The following is a 14089-nucleotide window of genomic DNA, read 5'->3' as shown; positions in this document are numbered from 1 at the left end:
CACAACCCATGTCACAAATTATTCTCCCACCCCAAACTTTGTATAGATTTCTAGAGAGGAAGGTTTTCTCAACTTACTTGAGCTGTTCATTTCTGACCTTAATGAAATCTTTCTTGAATTTAACTTAGACATTTTCTGCTGAATTTTAGGTTCTTAAAATCTGGATAAAATTTAGTGATGGGATACAGATGGAATAAATTCTTCTGTAATATTCCTTCATTTTACCAAAAGCATGTTAAATCATTTCTTTGTATCTGTAAAAATATATCAAAGGTTTAGGTAGCCCTAAATATTTTTATTTTGGAAATCTTCTGTTGATATTTCTAAGTATCTTAAGAAAAAAAACAAAAACAAACAAAACACGTCATGGCAAAGGACCACCATCCCTCCAGACAGTAACCTGAAGTTTCTATTCCTCTGCATCATTGTCTGTGCCATTGATCCTCCAGTGACATGAAGCTTTGTGTCACCTGTGGAAAGATACATCTCTCATAAAATACACAACCTTTATATAGAAAAGAAGTCTGGTACAAAGCAAATTCATTGATATTTCCTCCTCGCTCTTGGTTGAAGTTACAAAAGAGAATGGATGCAATTACTAGTTCATCTAAGAAGCAAAAGACACAAGGTAGTGTTCTAGATGGCTTCCCCGAGTCCATCCTGTAGATCATCATTGAAATAATGAATTCAGTAATGAAGTGCCGAATTTGCTGTAAAGTAGAAGTGGCCACGTTTTTAACATTCCCCTTCATCTAAAACAAAGGGTCATGACTGATTACATTCCATTTCTACTCAGGACTATTTTAACATTACCCTTAAAAAATATAAAGATGCAGAAATGCAGAAAGAACTGGAATATACATACAGCATTAAATTCCCAAAACATGTATTATACATATAAAAGCAAGAATACAGTGTTTGAGGCTGGGCACAGTGGCTCACGCCTGTAATCCCAGCATTTTGGGAGTCCGAGGTGGGTGGATCACTTGAGGTCAGGAGTTCGAGACCAGCCTAGCCAACATGGTGAAACCTTTTCTCTACTAAAAGTACAAAAATTAGCTGGGTGTGGTGGTGCACGCCTGTAGTCCCAGCTTCTCTGGAGGCTGAGGCAGGGGAATCACTTGAACCTGGCAGGCAGAGGTTGCAGCGAGTCAAGATTGCGCCACTGCACTCCAGTCAGGGTGATAGAGTGAGACCCCATCTCAAAAAAAAAAAAAAAATACAGCGTTTGAGTAAAACACTGTAAAAACTCAATTACTAGGGTATTTGAGAGGTGAGCATTTATCTGCATGCTTTGCTGGCTGACTCCAAAGCTGTAAATAAGGATCTAAATGGATGGTTTTGCATTTGGTTTAAATGTGTTTAAGCCAAAAATAAATTAAACCAAATGTTCTGAAGTCTAAACTCTTACAGGCATATATTGACTGCCATGACCTGCATTTAATGAATCCCTTTTCCACAAATAGAAGTCAAGAGAGAAATGGGCTTTATATGTTAATAAACTTAAAATATTTCCTGTTACCAAATATTTGCATTAAGCGGTCTCTCCATGCCCTCACTCTACACGACATAAACATTTTCCTCCCTGTGTACAACGGGTCTCAGATTGCAATTGCCACATACAAACAGGTCTTGGTGACTGTCCTCAGAGTTTCTTCCTTAGTAATGGTGAGATGAATACTGTGTTATCTTTGCTGACATTCCAAAGACCACAGAAAGCATAGAGGGAATGTTAGAATGCAGGAAATAGGAAATAGTAAGGAAAAAGAAAATAGCATTGGAGTAATAAAGTGAAAAACATGTCTATCCATAGTATATAACATAGGGTGCAGTTGTAGAGAGGAAATTCATCATTCCTTGTGTAGAACCAGCACCAACAGTTTAAATAGTTCAGCTTCCATGGCGGTGATGGATGGCTTGTTTGGATGTAGCAGCGGTATTAGTGAGGGAGCTTTCCTTTCAGGAAAGAGGTCAAGGAAGCATCCAAGTTATTTCTCAAGCCTGGTTCCTTTCTTACAAGAGATATTGCTGACACCGCTAGTATGCAGTAGCAAGTGTCATGGCAAGTCTGTGTGACAAAAGATGATTTTGATTAGCCGACCAGAAGGTCTGGACTCAGAGTTTGCTGCTGTTCCTGCTGCATTTCAAAACAGCCTCTAAAAGCCTCATGTTAGATTGTTTTCAAGGATGATTTCAATGTTCAATGTCTATTTACATACTCAGAGTATTGTGGGTAATGAAAACTGTGTTATTGAAACCACTTGGGAAGAAAATACAATAGAATTATGCAATAACTTAAATGAAACTTTGTTTTTTCGTAATTCTAATTTCCACGGCTGCCAAGCAGTAGTGAACTAGAAATAGAAAAAAGTCTGGTTAATCTGTGGCACAAATATATTTAAATTTCCAAACTGAAGAATTACCCATAATATATTTGGAACCATAAAGTCTACAATAAGTAAAATTACTTAATTACTTCTTAATGGTTAGAATTCAGAACACTGCCTTAAAAACACACACACACATTTGTTTAGTTGACTGATCCCAGATGTGATCTTAATAAAATGGCCTGGAAACTGGGGTTCAGCCTCTGGTGAACAAGTCCCTTAAGCTCGGTCATGGGTTTAGTGGCGATGCTCCATTCCAGGAAATGAGCCTGACATTTGCCTGTTTATATCTTTTATGTGTGGTTGCAGTTTAAGTTGTCTTATCATTATATACAATCGGCCAGGACTTTTCAAAAGCATCATGGGAACAATTCTGCCGCCTCCTGCTTTGAAAGCAGAATTTTATCATATCCTTTCCAGCTCTCGCATTTGGAAAGCTTCAAAAGCTAGTCACAACCTACCGCATTACCATCATCTTGGTGCTAGAGCTTGTCCATCGAATCAGAGTGAGGTTTGATGATGAAAAAAGAGGAGGCCTTCTCTTCCTAATGACACCTGAATATAAACATGACCTGTTAGTGGTGATGTGGCTGTGTCTCGGTTTGCTAAAAGCTGCCTAAGTTTTTAGTGACTTCAGTAAAAGCATAATAGGATTATAAAATTCAGATGGAAGCTACCTCCAAAACTCAGTTACTGGTTGAGCCTCTTTGTGAAGTACGTTTTATTTTCCTTATAGCACACACATTTTGAAACCCATGCATTTTTAAAAGTTGTTTCATATCTAATTATATTTGCTGGAGAGAAAAAACCCCAGCAAACTTAAAAAATAATTTTGCCACTGTTCAAAGAAATGTTGTTAAACACACACCTTCTATCTAGACACTCTTAATGCATTTTGTAAATATCCATGTCATCTCCTAATTGCCTGTTTATGAACTGGCCAACTTCCTTGGGTCTATATTCAGGGTATTGTGGGTAATGAAAAGTGTGTTATTTAAACTGGTCTTTTAAAATACCCTCCAACTCCTTGTCCTAGTTAGCTGGTGAGTATGCAGTGAATATATGCTTATTTTAATACTAACTGAAGAAATAAACCGTTAGGAAGATGAAATTGCTGCCAAGCCAGTGCATGGTATGATGCATCCCAGAGCCAAACACAAATGCTGTTTCGATTATGTATTTCTCTGCATTATTCATGCCAGTTCTTCTCTTTATTAGCAAGGAAAATCAGGAGTTGGCTGTGTTGTTACTTCCTATTTAATGGGCAATGAACATGATATGCGCAGAGATGTTAAGGAATTTGTCAAAGGTAGAAGCTGCAAAATGAGCTCAGTTCAATACATTTTTGGTTTAGCCATTTAAAAAAGTGTTAGTTTTGGCTGGGCGGGGTGGCTCACGCCTGTAATCCCAGCACTTTGGGAGGCTGAGGTGGGCAGATCATGAGGTCAAGAGATAGAGACCATCCTGGCCAACATGGTGAAACCCCGTCTTTACTAAAAACACAAAAATTAGCTGGGTGTGGTGGCACACGCCTGTAGTCTCAGCTACTTGGGAGGCTGAGGCAGGAGAATCACTTGAATTGGGGAGGCAGAGGTTGCAGTGAGCTGATATTGGGCTACTGTACTCCAGCCTCGCAACAGAGGGAGACTCCGTCTCAAAAAAAAAAAAAAAGTGTTAGTTTCTTTAGATATCTATTGTATTTCCAGATAAAGTGTCTCTTCATAGACAGTTGTTACATTACTATTGATCATAAAAGATCTTAGCATTTCTCTGTACAAATGGTTACGATTTTGGAGAATGAATACACTTGTATCCTGAATGATCAGGTTAGTAACGTGTGTTCTCCTGTGATATGTAGAATGTTTTTTATGATCATATATTGTAATAATACTCCTGAGCAGATAGATTTAAATCACATGTCCTTGTGTTTTAGTTCCAACAAGGACAATCCAGACAGCAATTTTGTGAGCCTGCAAATCAACATCACTGCTGTAGCGCAGGTGGAAATAAGAGGGTAAGTAGTAAGCAATGCATAGTACAATATCCTTCTGTATGTAGAGTTAAGATAAAATACTAGTGAAAATGATGTGGAATTTTCCTGATGCATTAGAGATCACAGTTCATTTTGGATATTAATTTTCACTCTTTTCTACTGATCGTTATTAGCCTTCCATTGGAAAGCAGAGTAAACCCTAAATAACAATTAACTCCAAGAATATCAAAACAAGAAATCACTTTATGCCAGGCGCGGTGGCTCATGCCTATACTCCCAGCACTTTGGGAGGCCAAAGTGAGCAGATCACCTGAGGTCAGGAGTTTGAGACCAGCCTAGCCAACATCGTGAAACCCTGTCTCTCCTAAAAATACAAAAATTAGCCAGGCGTGGTTGTGGGTACCTGTAATCCCAGCTACTCAGGAGGCTGAGGCAGGAGAATCACTTGAACCCGGGAGGCAGAGGTTGCAGTGAGCCAAGATCGTGCCATTGCACTCCAGCCTGGGTGACAAGAGTGAAACTCCATCTCAAAAAAAAAAAAAAAAAAAAAAAAAATCACTTTATTCCCCAAATTGACAGTGCAGTAATCAAACTATAAAAACCAGCTGATAAGAAGCCAGATAAAATAGACAACCATGTGATTCCCTGAAAAAAAATCTCAATTCTCCAATAATTATTTTAGCGTAATGACTTTTTAGCCTTACCACACCACATCTGGAGTTTAATAAATGACTAACTCTCAGATGCAAGGGTCGATTGGATCTATATTTTACATCTTTTTTCTTTGGTCCTATTCTTTAAGGAAGGTGCCAATAAGCAATCAACTGAGAGACGGGGGAAAAGGGTCAAGGAAATGACTACCAGCTGCAAAATCCATGCCTGGGGGAAAAAGAAATCAGAAATGGGTTGTGTGTAGTTCTTATCTTGCATGAAATTGGACTTCATTGATTTTTTTCTGATGATTCTGGTTTTTCAGAACAATCATGGATTTGGCTAAAAATGTCAACTGGTATTTTGGACCAAGTTGTCACTGGGGTTCCAGAATGCTGGTTTCCTTCCTTTTCCACGGTGGTTTACAAGCTTCGATGATGACAGCTGGTATTTCAGCAGGCAGAGCCAGTGCTGCCATGGGTCCTGCCCTGCTGTCCTGGTGCCGCTGGGGCGCCCCCTAGCGGATTAGAGAATAATAGCAATGTCTAACATACACTGTTCCCTTCTGGGTGCTACTCCAAGTTAGCCCATCTTATAAATGAACTAGTATCCTCCTTGTACAGGTGAGGGAATTGCGGCACAAGGAGTTGAAGGTTAAACTAGAAAATGCCAGAATGTAAATATAGGCAACTGTCTCCAGAGCTCATGCTCAGAAATGATCATGCTATCCTGCCTGGGATATAGTTTTTTGAAACTTATCTACATAAAATCGTATTTTATGTATGTTTCTAATTTTTTTCCATTCAAACCAATGTTTTTGAGATTCATTTTAGTGCACGTGCCTGTAATTCACTCATGTCAACTGCCTGAGTGTTACACTGTAAAACTATACCATCGTTTATCTTATTTTACTTTGAGACTGGGTCTCACTCTGTCACCCAGGCTGATCTCGGCTCACTGCAACCTCCACCTCCTGGGTTCAAGTGATTCTCGGGCCTCAGCCTCCTCAGTAGCTGGGATTACAGGCATGCACCACGCCCGGCTAATTTTTGTATTTTTAGTAGAGACAGGGTTTCACCATGTTGGCCAGGCTGGTCTCAAACTCCTGACCTCAGGTGAATCTGCCTACCTCAGCCTCCCAAAGTGCTAGGATTATTACAGGCCTTAGCCACCATGCTCGGCCAAAATATACCATAATTTATTTATCTATTCTACTCTGGATGAAAATGCAGGGCTTTTATTATTTTCCTTTTTGCAATTGTTTTTTGTACATATCTTCCAGTACACAGGGGGAAGAATGTCAGCAGAGGATATACTTAGAAGTGGAAATTCAGGATCAGAGAGTATGCTCTATTTAACTTTACTACATAATATCAAACTCTTTTTCAAAATACTTATGCCAAATTACACTCCTGTGAGAAGTGGGTGAAGTTTCTGTTATCCCACACTATCAGCTAACTCTCAACATGATCTGGTTTTTGAGCCAGTCTGGTGGACAAGAAATGGTACCTTACTGAAGGTTTAACTTGCGGTCCCCTGATTCCTAAATGAGATTCAGCAGCTTTTTAATCTTTGTTGACTCTTTATTCTTCCTGTGCAGAGAAATTCTTGTTCAATTTTTTGCACATATTTCTTTTCTTTTCTTTTCTTTTCTTTTTCTTGACAGTCTCGCTGCATCACCCAGGCTGGAGTGCAGTGGCATGATCTCAGCTCACTGCAACCTCTCCCTCCAGGGTTCGAGTGATTCTCCTACCTCAGCCTCCCAAGTGGCTGAGATTACAGGCACCTGCTACCATGCCCAGCTAATTTTTGTATTTTTAATAGAGAAGGGGTTTCACCATGTTGGCCAGGCTGGTCTCGAACTCTGTACCTCAGGTGATCCACCTGCCTTGGTCTCCCAAAGTGCTGGGATTACAGGCATGAGCCATCACACCCAGCCTTTTTTACACATAGTGCTACTAAAAGAGTTGACTTTTTTTCATTAGTGTATAGAAATTCTTTTCTATTCTAGAGTTTAGTCACTAATCCTTTATCAGTTACAAAGATTACCAATATCTTTCAACAGTTTATGGAGTTTGTGGGGTTTTTGAAAAGTCAGATTTATTGGAATGTAAATTACATAAAGTAAAATTCATCCTTTTTAGGTGTCCAGTTGAAGAAGTTATGACATCAAAAGAACATACAATATAGAACAGTACCATCACTCCACATAGTTATTTTGGACTACTTTATAGCCAACCCTTCCCCACCCCGAGACCCTGGCAAGCTTGGCCTATTTTCTGTCACTATAGTTTTGCCTTTTTCCGGAATGATCTATAATGTTATGCAAGTCATTGGGAATGGTGCTGGCTTCTTCCACCTAACCTAACGCACTTGAGAAACATCTGTGTTCTTGAATGTATCAGTAGACAGTTTCTTTTTATATATATACTTTTTTATTATTATACTTTAAGTTCTGGGGTACCTGTGCAGAACGTGCAGGTTTGTTACATAGGTATACAAGTGCCATGATGGTTTGCTGCACTCATCAACCCATCATCTACATTAGGTATTTCTCCTAATGCTATCCCTTCCCTAGCCCCCCATCCCCCAGTAGGCCCCGCTGTGTGATGTTCCCCTCCCTGTTGTCCACGTGCTCTCATTGTTCAACTCCCACTTATGAGTGAGAACATGTGGTGTTTGGTTTTCTGTTCCTGTGTTAGTTTGCTGAGAATGATGGTTTCCAGTTTCATCCATGTCCCTGCAAAAGACATGAACTCATCCTTTTTTATGGCTGCATAGTATTCCACATTGTATATGTGCCACATTTTCTTTATCCAGTCTATCTGGATGGGCATTTCAGTTGGTTCCAAGTCTTTGCTATGATGGTTTCTTTTTACTGCTGAGAAGTATTCCATTGTATGGATGGATGTCCAGTGAATTGTTCATCCATTCACTCATTGGTGAACATTTGAATTGTCTCCAGTTTGAGCTATGAAGAATAAAGCTGCTATAAGTATTCATGTGCAGGTCTTTGTTGGAACATTTGTTTTCACAAATGGAATTACCGAGTTGTATGATATGTGTATGTTTATAAGAAACTGTGCAACTGTTTTCCAGAAAGGCTATACTGTTTCCATTCTTCATTCCCACCAACCATGCATGAGAGTTGCAGTCATGCACCATTTTTGCCAGCATGTGCTTTATGTTGGTTTGTATTTAGTCATTCTAGTAAGCCTATAGTGTTCCACTGAGTTTTTAGTTTTCATTTGCTTAATGACCAGTTACATTGGGCATCTTTTCAGTGCTTATTTGCCATCAATATCTCATTTTTGGTGAAGTATCCCTTCAAATCTTCTACCCATTTATTACTGGGTTTTCTGTCTCCTTATTATCGAGTTGTAGAAGTTCTTTATAAATTCTGTATACAAAGCCATTTACCAAATATGTGTCCCGCGATTATTTTCTCCCAGTCTATAGTTTGGTTTTATATTTCCTTAATAGTGATGTTCAAGAAGCAAAAGTTTGATGAAATCCAGTTGATTTTTTAATGTTTTGTGTTCTTTGTGTCCTAATTTGAAATAATACTGTTCCAAAGTCACAAAGATTTTCACCTGTATTTTCTTCTAGGAGTTGTATAATTTCAGCTTTTACACTTGGATCTATAATTATAAGCTAATTGTATCTGGTGTGAGGTGAGGGCCAAGGTTCTTTTTCTTCTTTTCTTCTTTTTTTTGAGACAGGGTCTCACTCTATCTCCCAGGCTGGAGTGCAGTGGCACAATCAAAGCTCACTGCAGCCTCCAACTCCTGAGCTCAAGTGATCCTCCCACCACAGCCTCCCAAGTAGCTGGGACTACTGGCATGCGCCACCATGCTGAGTTAATGTTTAAACGTTTTGTGGAGATGAGGTCCCACTGTGTTGCCCAAGCTGGTCTTGAACTCCTGGCCTCAAGCAATCTTCCTGCCTCACCCTCCCAAAGTGCTAGGATTACAGGCATGAGCCACCGTACCTGGCCCACTTTTACACATGAATACCTAGTGCCATTTGTTGAAAAAACCATTTTTCCCCCCACTGAATTACTTTGGCACCTTTGTTGAAAATCCATTATTATATGTGAGAGTCTATTTCTGGATTTGCTATTCTCTTCTATTGATGTATGTATGTATGTATGCACATCTTTCTAATCTATATAATAATAAGGCTTGAAATGTAGGAGTGTATCCTGAGATTTTGACAAATTCATTTGTAAATTCCAGTAGTTTTTTGTTTGCACATTTCCTAGTATCTTCTATAAAACTATGTTGTCTGCAAATAAAGACTTTTTTGTTATTTTCCCATCTGCATATGTAAAAGTTTATCCAATTATAAAGTTAGAGGGGACAGTCCCCACACGAGATTACCTGCCTTTTTCATGCCAACTGCAGATTCAGGTGATTCCCAAAACCACCCTCAGGGTCAAAACTTCAGTAGAAGTACACAGAACTCATTGAAAGCTATTACACTTACAGAGATTATTACAGGGAGAAGAGACATTAAAATCAGCCAAGGGAAGAAATACACACTGTGGAATCTGGAAAAGGACCAAACACAGGGTTTCCATCCTTCTCCCCTGTGGAGTTAAGGGATGTTACTTTTCTGCTATTGACATGTGATAATAGGCTTGGAGTATCACCTACCAGGGAAGCTCACCCAAGCCTCAGTGGTCAGAGTTTTTACTGGGGTTCTATGACATAGGCATGATTGATCATCTGCCCATGTAATTGATCTCAGTCTCCAAGTTGATTGATATGATGTGACCAAAGCTTCCACTCTATATCACATTGTTGGTCTTTCTGGTATTAACAACCCCTACTCTAAATCATAGTGTTAGGATATCCATTGTGATTCAAGGCCCCAGGCAAACAAAGATATTCCTATCAGGCATAAAATTCCAAGAGCTTACTCATTACCCCCCAGAAGCTGAGGGCAAAGGCCAGACCTCTTCTTGGACAAGGTTAAATTATTTGTTACATACTTATGCCTTTCATTTTTTTTCTTCCCTTATTGCATAGACTAGAACCACCAGTGCATGATCAATAGAAGCGGTAAAAAGAGACATCCTTGCCTTGTTCAATTTTACAAGAAAACCATTCAGCCTTTTACTATCAAGTTTGATGCCAGCTGCAGGGATTTTGTGGACACCCTTTATCAAGTTGAGGATGTTCTATCTTATTTCTACTTAAGAATTTTTAACATGAATGTATGTTTAGTTTTTTTCAAATGCTTATTCTGTACATATGAAGATGATTAAATTGTTTTTCTTTTTTATTCATTAAAGTGGTGAATTGATTAATTTTTGGTTTTGAATTTTAAACCAATCTTGCATTCTGGAGAATAAACACATTTAGTGTTGATGATTATCCTTTTTAGATACTCTGGGATTCGACTTGCTAAAATTTTGTTAGTGACTTTTACATCTACGTTCGTAAGAAGTACTGATCTGTAGTTTTCCTTTCTCGCAATATCTTTTTCTGATTTGGGTATCAGGTGAATGCTAGCTCCGTAAAATGATCTGGAGGGTTTTGTGGGGATTTTTTTGTACGAAGGTTTTGAACAAGTCAACTTCATTCTTAGATGTAAGGCTATTTATAATATCTATTTCTATTTAAATGGGCTTTGGTAGTTTCTCATTAAAGGAATTTGTCTATTTCATCTAAGTTGTTACATGTATTGGCATAAAGTTGTTCACAATATTCTCTCATTGTCCTTTTAATAGTTGTAGGATTTCTAGTGATGCCTTCTCCATCATTCTTGATATTGGCAGTTTATATCTTCTCCTTTTCTCTTTTTTTTTTTTTTTTTTTTTACATTTTCTGATCAGTCTGGCTAGAGTTTAGTGATCTTTTCAAAGAATCTGCTTTTTGTTTTATTAATTTTTCTTTGTTTTCTTTATTTTTTCTTTCTTTTCTATTTTATTGGTTTCAGCTTTTCTTGTTATCCTTTCTCGTGCTCTCTTTGGATTTGACTTTCTCTCCCATTTCTACTTCTTCTGTGCAGAAATGTTATGCTTGACTGGAGATCTTTTTTTGTATATAAGCATTTAGTGCTATAAATTTAGCAGCATACCGAAATGTTTATAAGTTGGGTTTTTTTGTTATAACTCAGCTCAAAATATTTTCTAGTTTTCTTTGTGATTTCTTCCTTAGTCATGAGTTGACTCATGGGAAGTGACTTGTTTGATTTACAGATATTTGGAGCTAATCTCGATGTTTTATTTTTGTTGACTTCTAATTTCATTCTCCTATCTCTCTCGATGAGAAAATTGCTATTTTTAAAAATCAGAGAAAAAAACACAAGCATTATTTTCTACTATCTTATTTTTATATCTTTTCAAAATTTACAATTAATGTATATGAACTTTTGTCTCCTTCTTTAAGCTTAGTGTATCTTAGTTTTTCTAGCCAAAAATAAATTGAAACTGGTTCTTAATTCCAAAATAAATTTAAAACTGGGAAATGTTTCTATTTGTTAGGACATAACTAAATCCAAGACAGCTAATGGCTGAATATAACTGTCTTTATTCTCAATATCCATTTTATGAGATTAATATTTTCAATATTACTGTCATTACTTACAGTAAAAAAAGAAGGAAATTTCTATTCACTTTTGCCAATAATCAAAACAGATCATTAAAATTGGGTTTCTCATACGAAAGCAGCTACTTTAATAGCTAGATTAATGTCCAACAATTGACCACAGATTATTCTCTAAGACTGTGCTAAAATCCTTTTTAGCCATTTACATAGTAAAACTCTTTCCTGCAAATATGCAGCAAAACATTGGTTTCAATGTTTAATACATCAAAGAACAAACAGCTACTGTTTGAAAATCTTCCATGTTCCGTCTCCCGGAACTTTATTTTTGGTCCATGGTGTTTATTCTGATGTAATTTATCATGCATTATTTTAAGCAGTTTTTTATCTACTGTTTTTTATAATTAAAAAATAAACAAAAATGGATTCATTTATTTGGGTGGGAAAAAATACTGAGAATTGTTCCATTTCTTTCAAAGCTAGATAACATCATCTTTAAGCAGATTTGTATGCATTTTGTGGTACAAAGGATCAGTTTAGCACATGTCTGTGAGAAGTAAACTTGGCCACAAGAGACAGCACCACATACACTGAGTCCATGAAGAGTGGTAAGATTGCAGATTTTGTAAAATAATCAGGATTGAATGGGTATGTACTAAGAGAGACCACAAACATGAACAGCTGAGGTTTGCATAGGATACCATCCACAGCAGGTACAGTTAAGACTGTTCCATACAATACATGGTAGTCTTTGCTATTTGGGAATGATAGGGTTTGAAAACAAGGATTTGAAACAGGATTCACAGCACACTACCAAATCCTCAGATTTGAATTTCCTGATTGCGTATATACTTCAACTTACTGAAAACCTAATTCCTTTATTCCAGAGAAATGAAAACCAAAGTTCACACAAGAATCCCTACATTAATCTTAATAGCAGCTTTGTTAATAATGGCCAAAAATTGCAAACAACCCAAATGTCCTTTGATGGGTTGATAGTTAAACAAATCATGGTACATCCATCCCATAGAATATCACTCAACAATAAACAGGAATGAACAATTGACAGATGGACCTTCAGGGAAGTATGCAGAGTCAAAAAAGCCAATCCCAAAAGATTGCATCCTGTATGATTCCAATTATATAACATTCTTGAAATAACAGAATTATATAAATGAGGAACAGATTAGTGGTTGCCAAGAGATATGGAGGAGATAGGGACAGAGGGAAGTGGACGTTCCTGTAAAAGGGGATCTTCGTGGTGATAGAAGTGTTCTTGACTATGTCAATGACAATATTCTGGTTTTGATATTATATACAATATCACATTTTGGTTTTGCAAGCTGTTACCATTGGGGAAACCGCTAAATGGTACATGGAATCTCTCCAAGTTATTTCTTACAACTACATATGAATCTACAATTATCTCAAAATAAGGTTTAATTTTAAAAAAACTAATTCCTTGCTTCTCCCAAAATTCATTTCTCATGTTTATTGTTACCATTAACAGTACCCCAGTCTTCTTCTTATCTGAGGGTCTTACTGGGATAACGTTCTATCTTCCATCTTAGGACGGAAGGCTATGCAGTGAGGGTCGTAAGATGACCACACTGGCTGTTTATCCTAGGCAAATTAGTTCAATATATTCTGTGTTGCTTGCTTGATTTCTTCCTTCTTTCTAAAAAATTTACTTTGAAAACCATGAACACTGTTTCACTGATTTAGTTGAGATCTTTAGAGAACCATTGTTTACCATGGTTTCCCTGGATTTGAAGTAGTCTTCGGTGGGTAAATAACTGAATTTTGTGAGCCATGCTTTTTAAATGATTTTGACATGATGTTTTGATAGATTATATATTTCTTCATAGACTTCTATTTGATTTTTTGTTACAGAACTGTGCCAGGAAGTTTAAGTCGTCTTCACTAAATACCACTGCAGCTTAGGAGCCCCCATGGTGCATTTTATATTAGAAATAGAGTAGATGGTACTTAGGATCTGAGCTCTAGATCTCACCTGCAACTAACCCTCTACTCCTGTGTACAACAGTCTTCCTTTCATGTATAAAATGAAGGGTTTTGACGATATCATCTCCATAGTACTTGTCAAGATTCAAATACATATGATTCTATGATCCTAGGGAATTTATGGCCAGTCCTGTGGACTGATGACCATAAAAACAAAAGTTTTCAGAGAAAATGTGTTCAGCTTCTGTGCTATGTTTGTTCTCTATGCAAATAAATAAATAAATAAAAGTTTCCCTAGAACCTCACAATGGACAATGGATAGTGAACACGAACTCAACTCTCTGTTGCCAAGCTGAAAGCAAACGCCAGCTTTGGGTTTGGAGACTGTCAAGACTGGTATAGAAACCCAGGTTCTCTGGGCTTCTCTCTGATGACAGAAGCCTGTCATGATTTAATCAAACCAAGTCAGAAAAGGGAACATAGCATAATGACAAACCAATATAAACGCAGAAATGTCTGTGGTATCAGCCCAGCAAAGT

General features: G+C 37.6%; 1 protein-coding gene across 3 annotated transcripts in view, besides 1 other annotated feature; it reads left to right on the top strand.

Annotated features, from left to right (window-relative positions):
• ITGA8 (integrin subunit alpha 8) overlaps positions 1–14089 on the top strand; it is a 205969-nt gene that overhangs the window by 128938 nt on the left and 62942 nt on the right. For 2 of the 3 annotated variants that reach the window (NM_001291494.2, NM_003638.3), the window contains one exon: positions 4321–4401. In NM_001291494.2, the coding sequence (NP_001278423.1) occupies positions 4321–4401 (81 nt within the window). Of the gene's footprint in view, positions 1–4320; positions 4402–10064; positions 10325–14089 lie in introns of those variants that run through there. The other variant, XM_011519752.3, reaches the window with a different exon arrangement.
• Positions 5595–5644: a silencer, noted in NCBI's record as "silent region_2174". NCBI's record gives its function as "represses an Ori minimal core promoter by ATAC-STARR-seq in GM12878 lymphoblastoid cells {active_cell/tissue: GM12878}" and the evidence as "EXISTENCE:reporter gene assay evidence [ECO:0000049][PMID:35858748]".

Source organism: Homo sapiens, chromosome 10, assembly GCF_000001405.40.
Source record: "Homo sapiens chromosome 10, GRCh38.p14 Primary Assembly".
In the NCBI taxonomy this organism is placed as follows: Eukaryota; Metazoa; Chordata; class Mammalia; order Primates; family Hominidae; genus Homo; species Homo sapiens.
This window is presented reverse-complemented; position numbering and strand designations above follow the sequence as displayed.